This window comes from Homo sapiens, chromosome 5, assembly GCF_000001405.40.
Source record: "Homo sapiens chromosome 5, GRCh38.p14 Primary Assembly".
In the NCBI taxonomy this organism is placed as follows: domain Eukaryota; kingdom Metazoa; phylum Chordata; class Mammalia; order Primates; family Hominidae; genus Homo; species Homo sapiens.
The window spans coordinates 139,386,313-139,406,000 of NC_000005.10; the positions used below are offsets into that span (position 1 = coordinate 139,386,313).

The 19,688-nt window shown below is 56.0% G+C and overlaps 3 protein-coding genes across 8 annotated transcripts, besides 19 other annotated features; all 3 read right to left on the reverse strand.

Moving 5' to 3' along the window:
* Window positions 306-425: an enhancer, noted in NCBI's record as "active region_23223". NCBI's record gives its function as "activates an Ori minimal core promoter by ATAC-STARR-seq in GM12878 lymphoblastoid cells {active_cell/tissue: GM12878}" and the evidence as "EXISTENCE:reporter gene assay evidence [ECO:0000049][PMID:35858748]".
* On the reverse strand, window positions 1,155-3,601 carry MZB1 (marginal zone B and B1 cell specific protein). 2 transcript variants are annotated; one of them, XM_047417264.1, is made up of 5 exons: window positions 3,368-3,601; window positions 3,015-3,108; window positions 2,149-2,355; window positions 1,709-1,819; window positions 1,155-1,609 (listed from the first exon to the last, which is right to left on the reverse strand). In XM_047417264.1, exons 3-5 carry the CDS (start codon window positions 2,271-2,273, stop codon window positions 1,453-1,455), a joined length of 393 nt encoding a protein of 130 aa, XP_047273220.1. In that variant the 5' UTR covers window positions 2,274-2,355; window positions 3,015-3,108; window positions 3,368-3,601; the 3' UTR covers window positions 1,155-1,452. The 2 variants fall into 2 exon arrangements, with proteins under 2 accessions (XP_047273220.1, NP_057543.2); NM_016459.4 differs by lacking the exon at window positions 3,015-3,108 and having other exon boundaries at window positions 2,149-2,273.
* Window positions 1,668-1,717: an enhancer, noted in NCBI's record as "active region_23224". NCBI's record gives its function as "activates an Ori minimal core promoter by ATAC-STARR-seq in GM12878 lymphoblastoid cells {active_cell/tissue: GM12878}" and the evidence as "EXISTENCE:reporter gene assay evidence [ECO:0000049][PMID:35858748]".
* Window positions 1,738-2,285: an enhancer, noted in NCBI's record as "H3K4me1 hESC enhancer chr5:138723739-138724286 (GRCh37/hg19 assembly coordinates)". NCBI's record gives its function as "activates a minimal SCP1, AML or CMV promoter by ChIP-STARR-seq in primed H9 embryonic stem cells {active_cell/tissue: H9 hESC(primed)}" and the evidence as "EXISTENCE:reporter gene assay evidence [ECO:0000049][PMID:30033119]".
* Window positions 2,286-2,833: an enhancer, noted in NCBI's record as "H3K4me1 hESC enhancer chr5:138724287-138724834 (GRCh37/hg19 assembly coordinates)". NCBI's record gives its function as "activates a minimal SCP1, AML or CMV promoter by ChIP-STARR-seq in primed H9 embryonic stem cells {active_cell/tissue: H9 hESC(primed)}" and the evidence as "EXISTENCE:reporter gene assay evidence [ECO:0000049][PMID:30033119]".
* Window positions 2,834-3,381: an enhancer, noted in NCBI's record as "H3K4me1 hESC enhancer chr5:138724835-138725382 (GRCh37/hg19 assembly coordinates)". NCBI's record gives its function as "activates a minimal SCP1, AML or CMV promoter by ChIP-STARR-seq in primed H9 embryonic stem cells {active_cell/tissue: H9 hESC(primed)}" and the evidence as "EXISTENCE:reporter gene assay evidence [ECO:0000049][PMID:30033119]".
* Window positions 3,358-3,767: an enhancer, noted in NCBI's record as "active region_23225". NCBI's record gives its function as "activates an Ori minimal core promoter by ATAC-STARR-seq in GM12878 lymphoblastoid cells {active_cell/tissue: GM12878}" and the evidence as "EXISTENCE:reporter gene assay evidence [ECO:0000049][PMID:35858748]".
* On the reverse strand, window positions 4,280-8,792 carry PROB1 (proline rich basic protein 1). The gene has a single exon (NM_001161546.2). It carries the CDS (start codon window positions 8,767-8,769, stop codon window positions 5,722-5,724), a length of 3,048 nt encoding a protein of 1,015 aa, NP_001155018.1. The 5' UTR covers window positions 8,770-8,792; the 3' UTR covers window positions 4,280-5,721.
* Window positions 4,738-4,787: a silencer, noted in NCBI's record as "silent region_16409". NCBI's record gives its function as "represses an Ori minimal core promoter by ATAC-STARR-seq in GM12878 lymphoblastoid cells {active_cell/tissue: GM12878}" and the evidence as "EXISTENCE:reporter gene assay evidence [ECO:0000049][PMID:35858748]".
* Window positions 5,428-5,722: an enhancer, noted in NCBI's record as "tiled region #996; HepG2 Activating non-DNase unmatched - State 10:DNaseD, and K562 Activating non-DNase unmatched - State 10:DNaseD". NCBI's record gives its function as "activates a minimal TATA promoter and a strong SV40 promoter by Sharpr-MPRA in HepG2 and K562 cells {active_cell/tissue: HepG2 | K562}" and the evidence as "EXISTENCE:reporter gene assay evidence [ECO:0000049][PMID:27701403]".
* Window positions 6,058-6,467: a silencer, noted in NCBI's record as "silent region_16410". NCBI's record gives its function as "represses an Ori minimal core promoter by ATAC-STARR-seq in GM12878 lymphoblastoid cells {active_cell/tissue: GM12878}" and the evidence as "EXISTENCE:reporter gene assay evidence [ECO:0000049][PMID:35858748]".
* SPATA24 (spermatogenesis associated 24) lies at window positions 6,188-17,777 on the reverse strand. 5 transcript variants are annotated; one of them, XM_005271916.5, is made up of 6 exons: window positions 17,632-17,777; window positions 16,316-16,381; window positions 15,603-15,733; window positions 15,443-15,513; window positions 10,729-10,831; window positions 6,188-10,643 (listed from the first exon to the last, which is right to left on the reverse strand). In XM_005271916.5, the coding sequence occupies exons 1-6, from the start codon at window positions 17,746-17,748 to the stop codon at window positions 9,893-9,895; spliced, it is 1,239 nt and encodes a 412-aa protein (XP_005271973.1). In that variant the 5' UTR covers window positions 17,749-17,777; the 3' UTR covers window positions 6,188-9,892. The 5 variants fall into 5 exon arrangements, with proteins under 5 accessions (XP_005271973.1, XP_011541555.1, XP_011541554.1 ...); XM_011543253.3 differs by having other exon boundaries at window positions 16,316-16,415; XM_011543252.3 differs by having other exon boundaries at window positions 16,316-16,436.
* Window positions 6,638-6,687: an enhancer, noted in NCBI's record as "active region_23226". NCBI's record gives its function as "activates an Ori minimal core promoter by ATAC-STARR-seq in GM12878 lymphoblastoid cells {active_cell/tissue: GM12878}" and the evidence as "EXISTENCE:reporter gene assay evidence [ECO:0000049][PMID:35858748]".
* Window positions 6,998-7,207: an enhancer, noted in NCBI's record as "active region_23227". NCBI's record gives its function as "activates an Ori minimal core promoter by ATAC-STARR-seq in GM12878 lymphoblastoid cells {active_cell/tissue: GM12878}" and the evidence as "EXISTENCE:reporter gene assay evidence [ECO:0000049][PMID:35858748]".
* Window positions 7,218-7,387: an enhancer, noted in NCBI's record as "active region_23228". NCBI's record gives its function as "activates an Ori minimal core promoter by ATAC-STARR-seq in GM12878 lymphoblastoid cells {active_cell/tissue: GM12878}" and the evidence as "EXISTENCE:reporter gene assay evidence [ECO:0000049][PMID:35858748]".
* Window positions 8,018-8,307: a silencer, noted in NCBI's record as "silent region_16411". NCBI's record gives its function as "represses an Ori minimal core promoter by ATAC-STARR-seq in GM12878 lymphoblastoid cells {active_cell/tissue: GM12878}" and the evidence as "EXISTENCE:reporter gene assay evidence [ECO:0000049][PMID:35858748]".
* Window positions 13,080-13,299: an enhancer, noted in NCBI's record as "active region_23229". NCBI's record gives its function as "activates an Ori minimal core promoter by ATAC-STARR-seq in GM12878 lymphoblastoid cells {active_cell/tissue: GM12878}" and the evidence as "EXISTENCE:reporter gene assay evidence [ECO:0000049][PMID:35858748]".
* Window positions 13,710-13,759: an enhancer, noted in NCBI's record as "active region_23230". NCBI's record gives its function as "activates an Ori minimal core promoter by ATAC-STARR-seq in GM12878 lymphoblastoid cells {active_cell/tissue: GM12878}" and the evidence as "EXISTENCE:reporter gene assay evidence [ECO:0000049][PMID:35858748]".
* Window positions 17,141-17,714: an enhancer, noted in NCBI's record as "H3K27ac-H3K4me1 hESC enhancer chr5:138739142-138739715 (GRCh37/hg19 assembly coordinates)". NCBI's record gives its function as "activates a minimal SCP1, AML or CMV promoter by ChIP-STARR-seq in primed H9 embryonic stem cells {active_cell/tissue: H9 hESC(primed)}" and the evidence as "EXISTENCE:reporter gene assay evidence [ECO:0000049][PMID:30033119]".
* Window positions 17,141-17,769: a biological region, named in NCBI's record as "H3K27ac-H3K4me1 hESC enhancer GRCh37_chr5:138739142-138739715".
* Window positions 17,540-17,769: an enhancer, noted in NCBI's record as "active region_23231". NCBI's record gives its function as "activates an Ori minimal core promoter by ATAC-STARR-seq in GM12878 lymphoblastoid cells {active_cell/tissue: GM12878}" and the evidence as "EXISTENCE:reporter gene assay evidence [ECO:0000049][PMID:35858748]".
* Window positions 17,715-18,287: an enhancer, noted in NCBI's record as "H3K27ac-H3K4me1 hESC enhancer chr5:138739716-138740288 (GRCh37/hg19 assembly coordinates)". NCBI's record gives its function as "activates a minimal SCP1, AML or CMV promoter by ChIP-STARR-seq in primed H9 embryonic stem cells {active_cell/tissue: H9 hESC(primed)}" and the evidence as "EXISTENCE:reporter gene assay evidence [ECO:0000049][PMID:30033119]".

Here is a 19,688-nt window from a genome sequence, read left to right on the forward strand (position 1 = left end):
ATTGATGGCTCCCTCTTACCTCTGGAAGTTGTAGGGATGCAAATTTGGCCTTCTGTAGGAGGGATGTAATATTGTGAAATATATATTTGGTCTTTGACCTCTGTTTCCTGGAGTACAATTTCTAAAATCTTAGAATCCCCAAAATGATGTCTTCTTGTGTGCTAATGATTGACTGATGGCTGGCAGCCCCTAGGGTAGCTTCAGGACAGGGGCTGGTCACCAGAGAGACCAAGGCAGGATTTCAGCCTCCCCTCACCCCCCATCCCCAGTCAAGGGAGGGCAGACAGGTTGGAGGGTAAGTTGTTCGCCAATGGCCAATGGCTTAATGAATCATACCTACGTAATGAATTATCCACAGAAACTCAAAATTGCAGGGTTCAGAGATCTTCTGGATAGCTGAACACGTGGAGGTTCCTGGACGGTGTTGCATCCATGGAGGGCATGGAAGCTCCGAGCCCATTCCCCATACCTTGCCCTACACATCTCTGCATCTGTATCCTTTGTAACATCCTTTATAATAAACTGGTAAACGTTTCTCTGAGCTCTGCGAACCACTCTAGCAAATTAGTTGAACTCAAAAGAGGGGGTTGTGGGAACCTCATCTTGAAGCCAGTAGGCCAGAAGCTCCAGAGGCCTGGAGTTGGAACTGGTGTCTGAATGGGGGACAGAATGGTGGACTGAGCCCTCAGCCTGTGGGATCTGACACTATCTCCAGGTAGATAGTGCCAGAATTGAATTTTGGAGGGCACCCAGCTGGTGTCAGCTGCAGAATTGCTTGCCTGGTGTGTGGGGGAAAGCCCCCACGCATTCGGTCACAGCCATCTTCTGTGCTGTTGTCGAGTGAGAGAATAGAAAAAGCATTTTGAAGGCCGGGCGCGGTGGCTCATGCCTGTAATCTCAGCACTTTGGGAAGCCAAGGCGAGCGGATCACCTGAGGTCAGGAGTTCAAGACCAGCCTGGCCAACATGGTGAAATCCCGTCTCTACTAAAAATACAAAAATTAGCCGGGCATGATGGTGGGTGCCTGTAATCCCAGCTACTCAGGAGGCTGAGGTGGGAGAATCGCCTGAACCTGGGAGGTGGAGGTTGCATCGAGCCAAGAACACTGCACTCCAGCCTGGGTGACAGAGTGAGACTGTCTCAAAAAAAAAAAATTGATTTTGAGAGTTTTTTTTTTTTTTTCACAAGGGACATCAGCAGAAACACCAATGTCTGCACTCCCAGCCCCACAAGCACCTTTTGCAGAGAAAAGAAGTGAGGTCACTGGGTTTTATTTGAGTCCAGAGGGGAAGGCGTTGACTCCCACCCAGGCCCGAGTGCCCTGAGGCTGGAGGAGGGAGGCAGGATGGCAGCACAGAGCAAGGGCTTCCTGCCCTCCTGGCTGCCTGCAGACGGGAGTGGAGACCGTCAGAGCAAGCCCCAGCTTCTTTCAGAGGAGGGTAGAGTCCAGGACTAGAGCTCTTCTCTTGTGGCTGACACCTTCTCTGAGCAGGCCCCCTGGGGTCCCCCACATAGCAATGCCTCCAGAGCCCCTCGGCCTTGTTGGTGGGCTTCATAGATCTGGTCTTCTCCAAACTCCCCCAAGTAGTGCAAACATGTCCTGGAGAGCCTAGGGGAGCCCAGCAGGAGCCTCAGATGCTGCCCAGCCCACAGTGGGGCAAACCAAGGCTCCAGGAGCTTCATCCTATCCCCAAGCCCCGGGCATCACCTGGTAGGCCAGGGGCCCCCTGTGACCATCACGCTGATGCTTGGCTCTGGCCCCTCGCTAAGTCCTGGGCCTGTGAGACGTTTCACTTGGTCCACTTCTCGAACTCCGTAGCTGGTGGCAGTGGAGAGGAGAGGAGTACAGTTTTGGCAGGAGCCCAGCCAGGGAGAGACCCATCTCCACAGCAAGCTGGACATGCTGGGCATTTGTGGAATTCAGAGAGGGAAAGCCCCTGGCCCAAGGTCACAAGGTGACCTTGTCCACTGGCCCTCTGCTCTCCCACTTGCTCTCAGCTCCAGAGCCCAGACTTCATCCCAGCCAGCCCCTCCCTTGGACCAGAGTCCTAGAGGAGTGTGTGTGTTGTGTGAGCGGCTGAGTGGGAATCTCCACCCACCAGGCCTGCCCTTGGAGGAGGGAGGTGGGGGGCAGGATTGGCAACTCACTCCTGCCAGTTCCGGGAGCAGCTCCGGTCCAGGACATCCGTGTAGACCAACTCGCTCAGCTCCCGCCGCCCCCCAGAGTTTGAGGTATGAAGTTTGGTCTCTGCCTTTGCCAGATTTTGCCACATCTGGAACAAGGAGGGACTGGGAGGCAGGGCCTCAGGACTGCTGCTCAGTTAGGGGGAGGTGGGGAGGATAGGAGCAGAGTCTCTGGGGAAAATAAAGTGGCAAGAGAGCCGTTTGAGCAGGAAGCACCTGTGAGGCTGTTGCATGGCCCCTCCCCCAGCCCCCAAAGCTCTCTGGGATGGGGATGGGGGATGGGAAAGAAATGCTGAAGTGGTAGGTGAGGCCTGGGCACTGGGGTCCCTCGTCCAGGGCACACCTGCCCAGTGGCAAGTGTCATTTTATTTTTATTTATTTATTTATTTAGAGAGAGTCTCACGCCGTTCGTCGCCCAGGCTGGAGTGCAGTGGTACGATCTCAGCTCACTGCAGCCTCCACCTCCCAGGTTCAAGTGATTCTTCTCCCTCAGCCTCCCAGGTAGCTGGGACTACAGGTATGTGCCACCACACCCGGCTAAAATTTTGTATTTTCAGTAGTGACGGGGTTTCACCATGTTGGCCAGGCTGGTCTCGAACTCCTGAGTTCAGGCGATCGGCCCCGCTCAGCCTCCCAAAGTGCTGGGATTACAGGCGTGAGCCACCGCGCCCGGCCGGCACGTGCCATTTTAAACCACAAGAGCAAGGTAAGAAAAACTGGAGCCCAATATTCAATCACACAAGTACTCCCAGGCCCCCACCTCACAGAGACACTGGCACGCAGGCATGCTCAGCAGGTGTGTGTGTGAAGCCAGACACACGCATACTCACGTGCAGGCGCTCACACGTGTGCACTTGCACCATGTACACATAGCCAAAGCCGCCCCGTCAGGGTTGGGGAGGGAGTCCGGACTCAAGGATGGGCCTGGAAAGGGAGAAGTCTAAGGACAAGTGAGTGATTCCCTGGGGTCTCAAAATACTGAGGAGGTCTCCCAGATTGTCTGCTGTTAGGCAGGCAGATGGGTAAACTGAGGCATGGAATATATGAAAGGCTGCATCTGTGGCTTGATGCCCAGTGGTAGGGATTGGGGATCAAAGGCCGGTGGTGGAATGTGAGGTGGGTGGAGGGGTCTGGCTTGAGAAGGGGTGTGAGCAGGGCAGGGTGACAGTGGTGAAGGACTCACCTGGTAAGCCACAGCTCTGCAGGCATCACAGCGCAGGTGAGCGGGCATGTGGGCTGAGTACATCTCCTCATCATCCAGTTGTGGGGCTGTGGCTGTGAGTGGCGCCCTGTCCCCGAGGCCCCCTGGGATGGCCCAGGCTCCCAGCAGCAGCAGCAGCAGTGGCAGTGACAGCCTCATGGCCCCAGGAGCCAGTTCAGCAAGTGTAGTCTGTGGTTGAGGTGCAGATGTGTGTGTGCTTGTGTGGTGTGGGGACCGCCACAGAACACCTGGCCTAGACCAATGGGGAACTGACACCTCACCCCTCCCATCCTCCTCCCACTCCCTCCTCCAGGGCCCCGAAGATGCCACGTGGGCATTGTCCTCTAGCTGGACCCTGGCTCCAGCCATCTCAGCTCCATTTCACAGATAGGGAGCACTGAGGCAAGGAGAGGGGCTGGGCCTAGGCAGGAACACATAGGGGCCGATACTGCCCACATCCTGTGATCTGGCCAAGTGGCAGGCACTGTGCTGAGTGCCTTGTGGGAAGAGTTGGTTGGCTGCCGTCATCTTTTTTTGTTTCATTGACCTTTCTGAGAAATGAGACTGTCATGTTTATTCTGCCTCTTCCGACACAAAGGCTCAGAGAGAGGTGACAAATCCAAGGCCACATAGCTAGAGGGGCCATGCTGAGAAACCCAAGCCTGATTGACCCCAAGGCTCCCTGGCCACTCAACCACCAGAAGGAATGAGGTGTGGCTGCCAGCCTCCTGGGAGGCAAGTTCAGGGAGACAGGGATGCTACAGTGTTTCCAAGACACACATGGTCTCCTTCCCTAGCCCTGAGGTCCCCTCCACCCAGGCCATACCCAGGCGTGGAAGGGCACTGTGGAGGGTGTTGAGAGGCTGTGGCAGGAAATCAGGCACCTCACACCAGTTATTTCAGCCATGATGGCTCCATGGTCAGTGATTTATTACACACCAGGATGAGGTAAAGACACCTGGGGTGGCCCCAGGGCCCTCCATGCCATCGGAGCTGGCATCTCCAGCTAGAAAATGGCCAGTTGTTCTGATTCGTAGCTCTCCTAGTCAGCTTCCAGTCCAGGGCAGAGGGCAGGGACTGCTAGGGACCTGGGCCCCCTGACAGGCCTGGAACAACGAAGGCATCCATCCCCATCCCTGCCACTGCTTCTCATGGAAACTGTCCTTCCCAAACTCATCACATCACACACCAGGCTGGCAAGGGCCAGCCATTTCCGGTTCAGAACTATATACAGACCCCCACGCACACCACCTCCCACCTCATGCAGACCCCCCTCATCTCCCTCAGAGGCTCCTGGAATCTCAGGGCAACTGAAGTGCAGGCTCTGGGCCCTGTCCCTTGCTGTGACTGGTCTGTAGGGCCAGCCCCTCTCTGGCCATTGTTGCCACATCTGTTACTGGGGAGTGGAACCTGCCAAGAGCTTCAGATCCCTCTGGATACTCCACCAGGGGTATCGCTTCTACTGCTGGCCCTAACCCACCTTCTGGCCACACAGAGGGGTCAAGAGGCTCCTGTGGGACAAGAGCCCAACCCTCCCTCTTCTCAGAGCTTCCTGATGACCATTTCACCTACTCCCGATGTAGGGGGTGGGGGACTGAAGCCCCACCCCTGGCCCAAAAATGAGTCAGCTCAGCTCTGAGGGCCAGGCTCCCCATCTTCCCACCCCAAGTTCCAGGCTAACCCCCAACCCAGGCCCTCCCTGTATTCCTTGCTTTGCCTCCACCTGCTGTCCCCCGCCTTAGCTCTTTCTCGGAGCCAGCCTGGCCTGGGCTGTACTGGCCACTTTCCCCCCAGTAACCTCCAGGGCCAAAGCTCAGCTCCTCTTCCTAAGAGCAGACTCGACAGCCAGAGTCCTTCCTGCCACCTCACCAGGGGCACTGGCCAGCCTCACCTCAGCTGGGCCCACCATCAGGGAGGGCAGACAGTTCCCCGCCCTGTCTCCTGCTGCTCCCGTTCCTGCTGCCCCACGGCAGCCACAGCACCTCCTCTGATCGGCTCCTGGGGACAAGCCCAGGGATGCCTCACTTTCCCTATTTGCTTGCCCGCATATACACATATACACACACCCACACACCACACCACACCACGCCCTGGGAATGCCTGGGAAAGGGATACATAATTTTGTTGGGGGAGGAAGTAGGCAGCCACTTCCTGGGTGACTCCAGCTCCACCAGCCTCGGGGCTCAGATTCATTCTCTGAAGATCACTTCCTGTCCGACGACTGACTGGGATGGGTTAAAGACAGAGGCGACGGAAGGAGAGGAGGGTAGGGGCTTGGATGCCAGAACCTCCCAGGCATCCAAGGGCTCCAACTCCATGGGGATCGGCCCGGGGCCTCACAGCGGGAACAATGAACCCTTGCCGGGCTGGGTGGGACCTGAGCTGGAGGGCGGCGCACAGAGGAGCAGAGGAGGTGCGGGGTTGGGGGTCCCGCTCACCGGCAGGTAGTAGGTCCCGTCCAGGGGCCCTGCCTCAGAGACCCAGGGTAGCTGGGGGCTGCCGAGGGCCTGCGGGCCCGGGGACGGTGGCAGAGAGAGGCTGGGTATAGGCCCATAGGCGGGCGGGTAGAGGCCGAGCCCCAGGGCCAGAGGGGTGTAGACGCGGTGGGGCGGCCCGGGAGACGAGGGCGGCAGCAACACCTCCACGTACTGCCCACTCTCAGGGTCGAAGAGCACCCGCAGCCGAGGCTGCCGCGGCGCCTCCACAAAGTAGTAGCGGCCGCTCTCGGGGTCCACCAAGACCTTCCCCAGGGGCGCGGCCCCGGGCTGCCTGCGCGCTCCCTGGGAGGGGCTTTGCGGGGACCGGTCCGTGGGAGGCGCCGAGGCAGCGCGGGGCTGGGCTGGGGCCGTCCTGCCCGCCAACGCCAGGGGCTCCCGCGGGAGTGGCGCCTGGACGGCAGCCGCGGGCTCGGGGGCCGTAGGTGGTGTCTTCGGTTTGGGTGCTATCCCAGGGCTCGGGCTGGCTTGCATCTGAGGGGAGCCGGGGCGGGGCGATCGGACCCCTGCTGGCCCTACGGGGGAGCGCTGGGATGAGCTGCGGGCGCCGCCTAGAGGGCTGGTCCGACCGTCGCCGTCGGGGACCAGGCGCTGGGCCTCTACATCCCTGTTCTCTCCTCCAGGGCCGCGCGCTCGCACTCGCGAGGTTACCTCGGGCCGGCGACCCAAGGCCAGGGCCCCAGGCAGGCGGATCTCTGTGCGCTTGAAGGGCTTCGCCGTGCTGTTCTCTGCCCTCCGCCGCAGGACCCCGTTGGGCTGTGAGGCGTCCCGGGCGACCGTGTCGAAGGACGGTTCAGGAGGCTCGTAGGGGTGCGGCACCACCGGTAGAAAATCCTTGATGAAAACGGAAGTGTAGTGAGCCGGGGCGGGGGGCCCCAGTGCTGGCGGCTCTTGCGTCTTGGATTCGCCGCCCTCCTCCCCGCAGGGGTCGGCAGGAGGCGCAGGCAGCCCAGAGCCTTGTGCTCCTGCCGGGAAGCCTGGCGCGTACGTGGTCTTCACCAACTTGCGCACGTCTCGAGGCCGCGGAATGGCCATGCGCGGGCGTCCCGAGGCCGCCTCTCCAGGACCCAAGACTTCCGGGCACTTATCCGCGTCCAGGGTGCCCACAGGGTGGCTGCCGGGCGGCTCGGGTGCTGCTACCTCTGGGGACTGCTGACTCCCTCCAAAGGCAAGATCTGAAATTTCCCGCGTGGATGGACTCTGCATCTCTGTTGGTTCTGGAGTGCCGGGTGCGGACGGTGTAGGCGGTGCCAACTCCTCCTGAGTTAACCCATTCTGAGCTTCCTGAGTAAATGCTATCGATGAGCCCGGCCCCATGGGATCCCATGTCTCTTGGGGAGATGGGCCCCAAGTTCCAATAGGACGATCTGGAGCCTCCCACGGGAAGAAGGCCGGCGGGGACGGGCTGCTACGTGGCTCCACCGCATCCGCGACTGCCGAATGTGGAATCTCCCACAGGGAAGGGGCTTCGAGGGACGGGCTCCTTTCCCCAGCAACACACTGATTCCACTGGGAAAGGATCGGAGGGGAAGGGCTTCTCCTGCTGACAGTTTCCTCGACGGCAGGATTTTGATTTTCCCACTCGGAGGAGGCTTCAGGGAACAATGGGCTACTCACCCTCCGAGTAGTCCGATCCCACGGGGACAGGTTCTGGGGCGACGGGCAGCGAGGACCCCGTACAGCCCCATTTGGAGTCTGCCGTGGCGGGGACGGGCTCCTTGGCCTCACAGCCCTACTCGGAACCTCCGAGGGGATCCTACACTCAAAAGGCGGACTCCGTGCCCTCTGAACAGTTCGATCCGGCGCCTCTCGCGGGAACCGAGTCTTCCGCGCCTCCTGGATCTTCTCCTCTGACTGAAGGAAGATGCTGGAACTAACAGGACCCAGCGGCTCCGTCCCGGGCGCAGGCTTGTCGCGCCGAATCGCGCGCTCGCGGAGGCTGGGCCACGGCCTCGGGGCCTTGGCGGGGGCCGAATTATCTCGTACGCGAAGTGGCCGAGACTTAGCCTTCTCCAGGACCACGTGGGTGCTGCGGGCCGTTTCCCGGGTCTCAGGTTCCGACCGCCCCGTGGACCCGAAGGTGGCGCTGCTCGGGGCCGGGGCCTCGGGGCTCAGTTTTCTGGCCAACGCCGTCTGCACGAAGCCCGCGGCGGCCTGCAGGGGGCCCAGCGACTCGTCCAGGGAACCGGTGCGCAGGAGCAGCCGGGGGCGCGGCGCGCCGGCCGCCCTTGGGGGACTCTGGGGCCGGGGGCGCAGCTCGATCTGACGCTTGGGCACTGTCCGGGGCCTGGCGGGCGCGGCGCCCTCCTCCAGAGCCACCTCCACACACTCGAACTGCGCTGGGGCGGCAGGACTTGGCCCACGGGGCCGCAGCTCTAGGTAGGTGGCCCAGCGGGAGCCACCATCGGGGACCTGGGACTGGCGTGGGACCGCGGCGGGAGACGCTGGCCCCGGCGGCAAGGGGCTGATGAAGGCCGGCTCCGTGAACTGTTGTTGCGCCTCGCGATCGTCTGCGCCGGAGCAGCCGAACAGGGGTCCGACGCCGAAGATGACTTCCATCTCCCCCGACGGCAGCGTGCGCAGCTGGGGCTGGGGTGGCCGTGGGCCGGAACCTGGGCCTCGCGGGAAACCCGAGCCGGGCCCGTGCCGCTGGCGGCTATTCTGGGCGCTGACGGACAGGCGAGGCTGCGCGCCCGCCCCCCGCCCAGGAGCCACCCAGGGCCAATTCGCTGGGCCTTTCGCGTCCGGCCCAACGTCCGGGGGCTCCGGAGAACCTGGAGCCGTGTAGTAGGAGCCTGACGAACCGGAGGAGTCCTGGCGCCGCGCGGGGGCCGTGGGCAGCTGCCTCGGGATCCCAGGCAGGGCTGGCGGGGCGAGCGCGGTCAGCATGGTGGGGCCGGACGCCGTGCACTATCTCCCTCGCATTCGCCTCCGCTGGTGGCGCCGGCACTGTCCCCGCCCCGCCCGAGGATGCCGTGGGGGTCACCGCGCCTTAAAGCGGCCGCGTCCACTCCTGAGCCAGCGGCGCCGGCAGCAGAAAAGACCTGGGCCCTGCACCCTTCCCTGTCCAGCCCCCATGCCCAACTAACCCCCTTCTCAGGCACAAGCCGGAGTACCTGGGGTGGGCTCCAAGCTTTGGCTGACAGGCAGGTGAGGGAATGGCAGGCCCAACTTTCAAAGCCTTGGAGCCAGGAGTTAGGCCCAACTCCACCTATCACAGGTGAGGAAACTGAAGCCCAGCAGGGATCCGCCTGAAGTCAGGCACTGCTGTGTGCAGTTCAGGCTGTGAGCGGGTGAACCAGACCTTCAGGCCAGGAGACTCAGGTAGGGCCAGCAATTTCATCTTCCCCTCAGCCCCGGGTGCCTTAGCATCACTGCAGGGGACCCCCATTGCCATTGCTGGCCTCAGCTAGAGCTCTTAAGGGTGCACACACCACCTTTCTTGACCCCAGTTACACTCTTCCTGATCCCCTTCAGTAGAGTGAGGAGCACCGCTAGAGGCTTCCCTGACTCCTCAGGGCCTCAGGAAGGTACTACCACTGGCTGGACCCACTGCCCTCGGTGGGACCTATTGGAAGGAGCTGGAGTGGACAGCTCTAGCTTTCAGTCTGCCTCAGCACCTAGAACAGGCCCTGGATACCGATGTGGGGTCCTACAGGAAGCTTCGAAGTAGCTTGTGGTCCCAGCTCCAAAGGCCCCTGCGGCCAGAACAGCCCTGTGCTCCCCCAGGTATTCACAAGGCCCTAACTTCAGCCCCCACAGCCTTAGGACCTGCCCTGGGGACAGGCGCTGGTGGGGAGGCAACCACCACCTGTCATTGTCTTACAACTGTGGGCACCACTTGCCCTTAAACTTCTGGCTTCAAGGTCCTGCTATGACTCAGGCCCCAGCTGGCCCTGGAGCAAGAGCACTGCCCCCTCCTGTGCACTTGGCCTCAAACCGACCCAGGACAGGCTACACTGGGCTAATCTGACCCCTGAAGTGGGTCCTCTGCCTGGGTGTGTCCCCATGATCACCTAGGGGGCACTCGGTGATGGCTTCTGAAAAAATGTTGCTGCTCCATCCCATCCAGCCCTGCCTGTGCAACTTGTGCAAATTGAGGTCCCTTCCCAGATTGTTTCTCCACCTTAAAACCACACACAGCATTGTCTTTTCTCTTCCTCCCATTGTGAAGCTCCCGTTTGGGGGAGGTGTCAGCAGGTGCAAATGCAATTTGCAGGTATAACATTATTGTCATGTGATGGAAACTGACTTCCCAAATTCCTTGTGGTTCTGGAACCCACTGTCTTTGAAGTTTCTGGTCAGGGCTTCCGGCCCTGTAGTCAAGTTGGGAAGTTAAATTTACCAGGACACTGGGAGTGGGGTGGAATATTACTGGGTAACCAGGGCTGTTTATATAGGAAGGGATTAAATACCCAAAGGAAGCGGTGGTGCCTACCAGACAACAAAGACCCAGCTCCTCCCCTAGGCTACAAGCCCCCACCTTGTGGACCCCTACCACTATCCAAGAGGGAGGGAAGTAGCAGGGGCTAGAGGCTGGGGACTCCCAGAGCAGAGAAGGCAGAGGCTGGGGATTACAGCCAGAGAACAGGAAAGCGGCGGCCATTTTATTTTTCCCTGGGATGCTGGTGGCTGCGGGCCTGACGTGTCCCTGAGGCTTTCTTATGCTTCTGGTCCAGCACCTGGGCCATGTAGCTCTCCTGCTGCTTCTGGATCCGGAAGTCAGACATGTGATTCCTGCAACGGAGCCGGCTGGTGGTGGGCTGTGGACAGCCAAGGGTAGGTAGGGGCCAGAGGTCTGGCTCCCCAGTGTCATCAACAACCCCCAGCCGGGCCCAGACCCCTCACCTGAAGATCTGTTTCTGCTGGCTGATAACTTGCTGCAACTCTTTAATCTCATTCTCTTTGCCATTAAGTATATCTTCTTGCTTTATAATGTGAGACTCAATCTCTGTGGGGGAGAGAGGCAGGGAGGAGGGGTGGTTCCCATCCCAGGGCTCCTTCCTGAGATAAGGCATTCCCTCACGGGGCTTTTCAGAGCTTGGCTCCCCACCCAAGAGTTCTCCATGAAGAACTGCTAATACCTTAGTATGAATGAGTTTATTATGCAGTCTTGGGGGAGTGCAGTGTTTGAGGATTGTTGTCAATGACTTCACAAGTCTATTCTGGACCAGAGGACCCACATGAGGGCAGGAGAAGGTCCTTGGAGAGAAGTGGGCAGGCCTGACCAAAGGCTGGAAGATGAATGGCGCCTGCCCTCAACTCCTGCAGGTCTTTACAGATGTTGCCTCCTTGGAGAAACTCTCCCTCATCAAAAAATTACATTTCCCAGTACTTCCTGTTCCCTCTTCCTGCTTTCTCTTTTTTTTTTTTTTGTATTTGAGACTGAGTCTTGCTCTGTCGCCAGGCTGGAGTGCAGTGGCATGATCTTGGCTCACTGCAACCTCCACCTCCTGAGTTCAAGCAATTCTCCTGCCTCAGCCTCCCGAGTAGCTGGGATTACAGGCGCCTGCCACCACGCCCAGCTAATTTTTGTATTTTTAGTAGAGATGGGGTTTCACCATGTTGGCCAGGCTGGTCTCGAACTTCTGACCTCAGGTGATCCACCCACCTCAGCCTCCCAAAATGCTGGGATTACAGGCGTGAGCCACCATGCCCAACATCCTGCTTTATTTTTCTTAACACTTTTACCTAACATACCATATACTTTACTCATCTGTCTTCTCCGCTGCTGGGATGTAAGGTCCACAAGGACAAGGATCTTTGTTTTATTCACGGCTTTATCCCTAAGGCCTAAAACAGCACCTGGCACATAGTAGGTATACAAAAAGTATATTTGCAGACCGAATGAACGGGATGTCCCTGGGGGTTTAGGACTCAGAAAAAAGACCTAGTTCAGTCATCCCAGTCCAAACAAACTTCCCGAGGGCTGGCTGGATGCCCAGCCTTGTGCTAGGGCTTCAGGGGTGGTGGGAGAAGATGGGAGTTGCCTCGATTTTCAGACCTGTTTCCTCATTTCAAAGATGGGGAAAGAGACAGCCCTATCCCACAGTGGTCTGGGGAGGACCCAGTGAGATAGTGGTGGCAAAGCCTACCCCCAAATTAATCGTACATTTGAGGCAAAGATGACTTTCTGAGGCAGGAGGATGGCTTGAGCCCAGGAGTAAGAGACCAGTCTGGGCAACATAGTGAGACCTCGCCTCTACAAAACTAAAAAAAAAAAAAACAAAAAACTAGCTGGGCATGGTGTTGGAACATGCCTATAGTCCTGGCTACTTGCTGAGGCAAGAGGATCACTTGAGCTCAGGAGTTGGGGGCTGCAATGAGCTATGACTGTGCCCCTGCACTCCAGCCTGGGTGACAGAGCAAGACCCTGTCTCTAAATAATAAATAAATAAATAAATGATAATTTTTCTGTGTTGGATCAAAATCCAAGGAGGCTGTAGGGATCTGGGGGTGCTTCATTTACATAACTGCCCCACATGGCACCTTGGAAAATTCTGATTCCTACAGAAAGAAAATCCTACTGTCTTCAAAGGTTGGACAAGGGGCCAGGCACAGTGGCTCATGCCTGTAATCCCAGCACTTTGGGAGGCCAAGGCGGGTGGATCACCTGAGGTCAGGAGTTTGAGACCAGCCTGGCCAACATGGTAAAACCCCGTCTCTACTAAAAATACAAAAATTAGCTGGGTGTGGTGGCACATGCCTGTAATCCCAGCTACTTTGGAGGCTGTGGCAGAAGAATTGCTTGAACCCAGGAGACGGAGGTTGCAGTGAGCCGAGATCGTGCCATTGCACTTCAGCCTGGGTGACAGAGCGAGATTCCGCTTCAAAAAAAAAAAAGGCCAGGCGTGGTGGCTCACGCCTGTAATCCCAGCACTTTGGGAGGCCAAGGTGGGTGGATCACAAAGTCAGGAGATGGAGACCATCCTGGCTAACACGGTGAAACCTTGTCTCTACTAAAAATACAAAAAATTAGCCAGGTGTGGTGGCGGGCACCTATAGTCCCAGCTACCTGGGAGGCTGAGGCAGGAAGATGACGTGAACCTGAGAGGCGGAGCTTGCAGTGAGCCGAGATCTCGACACCGCACTCCAGCCTGGGCGGCAGAGCAAGACTCCATCTCAAAAAAAAAAAAAAAAAGGTTGGACAAGAATTAACTAGAACACAAACTCTGAAAATACAGAAATGTCTAAGCATTTAAGATTTCAAAAGAGAAGACCTGGTAAAAAGTGAAGGCACAGCATGGAAAAGAGGAGACAGGTGAAGGGAGAGAATGAAGACATGAGTTCACCGGGTCATGGGACGAGGACTGTTGAACCTCCTTCCCAGGCGTCCAGCTAAGTGGAATTAATTACTTGTGAAGTTCGTTTGGGAAAAAGAATTAGAAATTTGTGTGACTCTTTGAAAATAAAAGCCTGTGGCACCCGATGGTGAGAGAATGGTTAGAAAATCCCTTTGAGAGTAAAGAACTATGTAAGTGTAAAAACCAAACTGAAACCACACAAGGGGAGTTTGTAGGGGTGGGAGGCACTGGCCAGGGTGAGGTTCACATCACCAGACTGGCTCAGGAGGGCTTGTGTCCCACAGGAGGGGTTTAGAATATTCTGGGGGAGGCAGCCAGGACCTGTCCCCATGACACACACACCTTCCAACAAGCAGATCCAAAGCCCCGTGAGCTTGACTGATCTCTGTTGGAAGGAAATGACCTAGGGGAAGGAGGTCTCTGGCCCTACCAGGAAAGAACCCCAGGTTCTTTTTTGGGAAGTAAGGGGATGCCCAGGGAGAGGGCAAGACTGAGGGGACCAATGGTCTCGAGCATGGGGGCAGTGACTGCCTGTTGCGCCCTGCCATGGCAGGAGCCAGTGACCAAACTACTATGAGACCTGTCAGCCTGCCTGGCCAGATCAAGATGTCAGCCTGCTGCCATCTTCCCAGTGAGAGCACTCACTAGGGGAGAGAGAAGGCTGAACAGGTGAAAGGCAGGGTACTCAAGGCTCCACATGGGAGCCCCATCAGTAAGGACCTTGAACCTCTTGCGCTTGGGCTCTGGCCTACTGGAGATCTGCTGCAGTGAACAAAGCAGATGTTGTGCCTGGAATTCATACCTACTTTTTTTTTTTTTTTTTTTTTGAGACAGAGTTTCACTTTTGTTGCCCAGGCTGGAGCGCAATGGCATGATCCTGGCTCACTGCAACCTCTGCCTCCTGGGTTCAAGCAGTTCTCCTGTCTCAGCCTCCTGAGTAGCTGGTATTACAGGTGCCCGCCACTATGCCCGGGTAATTTTTGGTATTTTTAGTAGAGATGGGGTTTCACCATGTTGGCCAGGCTGGTCTCGAACTCCTGACCTCATGTGATCCGCTTGCCTTGGCCTCCCAAAGTGTTGGGATTACAGGCATGAGCCACCGCGCCCAGCCCATACTTAAACTGGGTAAGGGGAGTTTAGCATTCCGGGAAATGAAAGGGGCTCCTGAGGTGTACGGGCATGTGTAGCTGACTCAGAAGGTGCCCCACAACTTATGGCACCAACTGAGCCAAAAAAGTGGCCCCCAGGCATCTGCACAGAGCAGAGTTGAAAACTGGCAGCCCACAGATATTTTACTTGGCCTACACGATAGTTTTAAAATTTCAAAATCAACTGCCAACACTAAAAAGTCAGAAAAGCTTCCATTAAAACTTGGTTTTGGCTGGGTGCGGTGGCTCACGCCTATAATCCCAGCACTTTGGGAGGCTGAGGTGGGGGATCACCTGAGGTCAGGAGTTCGAGACCAGCCTGACCAACATGGTGAAACCTCATCTCTACTAAAAATACAAAAATTAGCCGGGCATGGTGGTGCACACCTGTAATCCTAGCTACTCGGGAGGCTGCGGCAGAAGAATCACTTGAACCCAGGAGATGGAGGTTGCAGTGAGCCGTGTGCCACCGCACTCCAACCTAGGCAACAGAGCAAGACTCCATCTCAAAAAAAATAAAACAACTTGGTTTCACTGGGCATGGTGGCTCACACCTGTAGTCCCAGCTACTTGAGAGGCTGAGGTGGGTGAATCACTTGAGCCCAGGCATTTGAGACCAGCCTGGGCAGCATAGTGACACCCAGTCTTAGAAAAATAAAAATAACTCTTAGTTTCCATTTTAAAGATCTGGCAATCCTAGCCCCCTGTCACCACATGCATCCTTCCCTATTGAGTCCTGACCCTGAGACTAAGGATCAGGTCCCAAATAGGACAGTGCTTGCCCTGTGTTCCTCTTGTATCAGTTAGGAGTAACCCATCAAAAGTGGGAAAACAAAAGGTGGACTAAGAAGGTTGTATGTTTCAGGAAAAATGGGAGCAAGCCCATTCCTTTATGGCGGTGAAGAATATAGTACACCGACTGCTTCCCTCATTTCCGTGGCCTGCCTGGTCCCTTAAGGCCTTTTCGAAGGTGTGGCCCACCCGGGCCTGCCTGTATCCTCAGCTGGGGACAGGTGTTAGAGTGAAACCCTGCCTTTGACACAGGCACTGGGTGGTTAGGAAAGAGCCCGTTTATATAACCGTGGTGGAGAGCACGGGCCTCCCGCCTACCATTGCACTTGGTGATGAGCTGGTCCTTCTTGCTGGACTCCTGAAGGACTTTGCTCTTGACACTGGAGAGCCTGGGTGGGGAAGATAAGATGGGAGGGTGGGCAGGCTAGCAAGCAGATGCATCCCCCAAACCCCACACCCCGTACTGAGGCCCACTCACGCTTTTTCAAAGGCCAGCTTCTCTTTCTCCAGCTGCTTGGATAGCACCTCTACCTCTCCGAGGGCAAACTGTAACTTCTCCTCTTCCTTGGCCAGGAGGACCTTGGTTTTGGCATGGGCAGCTTTCTCTTCCTGCAGGGGCAGCAGCAGTCACCTCATTACCCTAGGCCGCCTTGGGTCTCCTAGACTCCCTTAACCAGCCCCCCTTCTCAGAGGGACACACAGAAGCCAGAGCACAGGGAGATTCTGGCCACCTTGCTACAGGGGCTGGAGGTTCTCAGAGGCCGACCTTTCTTTTTTCTTTTTTCTTTTTTTTTTTAGACAGAGTCTCACTCTGTTGCACAGGCTGGAGTGCAGTGGCATGATCTCAGCTCAGTGCAACCTCCACCTCCTGGGTTCAAGCCAATTCTCCTGTCTCAGCCTCCCAAGTAGCTGGGATTACAGGCGCCTGCCACCACGCATGCTTGGCTAATATATATATATGTATATATATATTTTTTTGTATTTTTAGTAGAGACAGGGTTTCACCATGTTGGCCAGGCTGGTCTCGAACTCCTGACCTCAAGTGATTTGCCCGCCTTGGCCTCCCAAAGAGCTGGGACTACAGTTGTGAGCCACTGCACCCATCAGAGGCTAATACTTAATGAGCCTGCCTAACCACAGGGATCCTGGGAAACGGGGGAAGATTAGGAGACCGCAGAGGCCATTACTTACCACCAGCTTCTTCTCCACTGCCTGGAACTCTTCTTTACTGACAAAATTTTCGTCCTGGAGAACCATCTGCAACAGAGCCTGGCTGAGGGAGGGCCTGGGGCTGGAGTAGAAGGGGCGCCCTCTAGGGACCAGGACCAAAAGCGGATAACAGGATGATGCTCGTGGTACCTAGGATGAGACTGAGGCCTTGGGAAGGGAGAATTCAGTTCCACAGATAAACTGAGACTCAGCTCTAAGTGCTGCCCTCAAGGAGCAGCCAGTCTCATGGAGGAGGCAGTCCACAGTTAGCACTTCTAACATGTTGTGTGCCTTGATGGGGAGACATAAGGGGATCTGGGGCTCAGAGGAGGCCCCAACCCAGCCTGGGGAAGGGTCAGAATCACTTCCGGAGAAGGGGATGTTAGACCTGAGATCTGACTGCTATATAGGGTGGGCCAGAAGAGGGATAGAGAGAAAAGCACTCTGGATGGTGGGGACACACATGCCAAGGTCAGCTGCCAAGAGGAAGACCTGGGTACCTTCAGGGAATCAAAGGCAATTCAGTGCCTAGAGCTCCATATATTTTGTTGAATGAGAGCATTAGGGTAGCAAATAGGACAGGTCTCTCTCCCCTTTCCCCCACATTCAACTTCCCAGAAGGGAAGAAATTGTCTAAGAACAACTTAGAATGAGAAGTAGATGTGAAGCCAGTTTTATTTCTGAGATGGAGATACATCCTAACCTTCTTATCAAGACAGGAAAACAAAACCAGAAAAACCATGAACTCCAGATGGCCAGGATTCTATCATGCCTACCCAGGTAATCTGTGACTGCAATGCTTTGCACCCATTAGCTGGGGTTTGATTGAGAAGGCAAAAGCTAAGGCATGTAAAGTTCTTGGAGGCCCCTAAGTTAGCGCTGGCAAGGGCCAAATCTGCGCTTACTGCATTCAACACGGCACTGCCTTTGACTCTCGGGAATGGTGTCCATAATAGAAGGGATGACAGTTTCTCTGCCTGCACAGGAGGGCCATGGGAACTCAGTGACGTCATCTCCACTGAAAATGGGGAAACTGAGGCTCAGGGACTCTCTACCAGCTCTTGCAGCAACCAGGCAAACGGAAGGGAGAATATGGCTTGATTTTAGTTAAAATTCCCTGGTTCAGGAAGGTCCGCCCCTTTTTGGCTCCACCCCTACCGACTGAGCCCGGCCTCCTCCTGATGACGCCATGGGCCATGCGTTCTAGCCACGGCCCCCGCATCGGAACAGGTTCTGGCCCCGCCCCCACCAGTGAGGCATCCGGCCCCGCCTCTCCCCAAACTCCTCTGGCTGCATACCACGTTCCTCAGCTGGTGGATTAGTTCCTCCTGAGACTCAATCACGTCCCGCAGTTGATCTAAAGCGAGACACACAGATCCTGACCCCGCCTTCGACCACCCGAGGGGCGTCGCCATCTTCCGCCCCCGCCAGCTAGTTGGAAATGGCTGCCTCGGGGGTGATCCTCGCCGTCGCCCACCAATGAGAATGCGACGCCACAGAGCACCCTGGCAACGGGGGGCGGGGACTTCCTATGTTAGCGGGGCGAGGGGCCGCCTCTTAAAGGAGCCGCCTGGAGCGGGGAAACTGCTGACAACCCTTAAGGCATTTAAGTTTACAGGAAATTGCGCTTTTATTGCGTCTTCTGTTTCTCACGCAGTCCTGAGAAGCCGGCAGGGCCCGGCTTGTACTTTCCTTGCCTGCGAGCAGGCAACACTCAAAACAGCAGCCCTCAGCCTTCACCCAGGGCCTGTTAAACTGCATGACCACGAAGCAAGAGCCAGCATAGGCAACTCCTGCATCTTTAGCTTCTCATGCCTCTTTCTCCAAATCTTTATCCTAATCTCCAAATTTCCTCCATTGTATGAGATTCCAGCCTCCTGGAACACACTTAGTACTTAGGGGTCCTAAGCCTAAGCACGGAAGATAGACGAAGATAAAAAATGAGAATGGCTACACCTGAGATCAAAGTCTTCATACTCTGATACCAGGCTCTGGGCACTAGAGTCTGCACTAGAGTCATGTGCCACCACCCGAGGAGGAGGACCCTGAAGAGATTAGGAGGACTGAAGAGGGCTTGAAGGAGGAGAGTTTAGTAAAATGAAGTCAGGGAAGGATACGGTGATTACGCACACTCACCAAGTCTCTATTGAAGGCTTTTTTTTTTTTCTTGGAAACCCAAATAAGATTAGGTTTGGAGAACATCAGAGCGAATATATATTGTGTTCACTATTTCGTGGCACCGTTATGTTTATATTATTTCATGTGACCCTCATGGAACTCCTATCAGCCCCTTTTTACCTAGGCTCTATGAGAATGAGAATGAATAACTTGCCCAAGGTCACTCTAGTAAGTTGTGGAACGGAGTTCTGCTATGGGCAGTTTGGTTCCAGGGTCCGTGTTTTTGTTTGTTTGTTTTTTGAGATGTAGTCTCGCTCTGTCGCCCAGGCTGGAGTGCAGGGACGTGATCTCGGCTCACTGCAAACTTCACCTTCCGGGTTTAAGGGATTCTTCTGCCTCAGCCTCCCAAGTAGCTGGGATTACAGGCGCCCGCCACCACGCCTGGCTAATTTTCTTATTTTTAGTAGATACGGGGTTTCACCATGTTGGCCAGGCTGGTCTCGAACTCCTGACCTCAGGTGATCCGCCTGCCTCGGCCTCCCAAAGTGCTGGGATTACAGGCATGAGCCACCGCGCTGGGCCTGGAGTTCATGTTCTTAACCAGGATGTTGTGCTGCATTTGTGTTGCACGTCATGGGTGGAAGTTATGGAATTTGATACCCCCAAGTAGGAAATGACTATACTAACAAGGAGTTTGGAAAAAAAGTTACCAGTGACTATGAAAGGAGGCAGAAAGCTCAGGGTAAGTCATTCAAGCCGCTCCCCAAAACCCCCCGGGGGGCCTGACAAACTTGGCCATCCCTGTGGTTCTCTCAGCGGGAGCCCTTGTTTTGTTTCTTGCGTTTATTTTCATGGACTTGGAGACAAGGCCATCTCTGCTGACCTCTCTCTCTTTTTTTTTTTTTTTTTTTTTGAGACGGAGTCTTGCTCTGATGCCCAGGGTGGAGTGCAGTGGTGCGATCTTGGCTCACTGCAAGCTCTGCCCCAACCGGGGTTCACACCATTCTCCTGCTTCAGCTTCCCGAACAGCTGGGACTACAGGCGCCCGCCACCATGCCCGGCTAATTTTTTGTATTTTTAGTAGAGATAGGGTTTCACCATGTTCTCTTTTTTTTTTCTTTTTTTCTTTTCTTTTTTTTTTGAGATGGAGTCTTGCTCTGTCGCCCAGGCTGGAGTGCAGTGGAGCAATCTTGGCTCACTGCAACCTCTGCCTCCCAGGTTTGAGCGATTCTCCCAA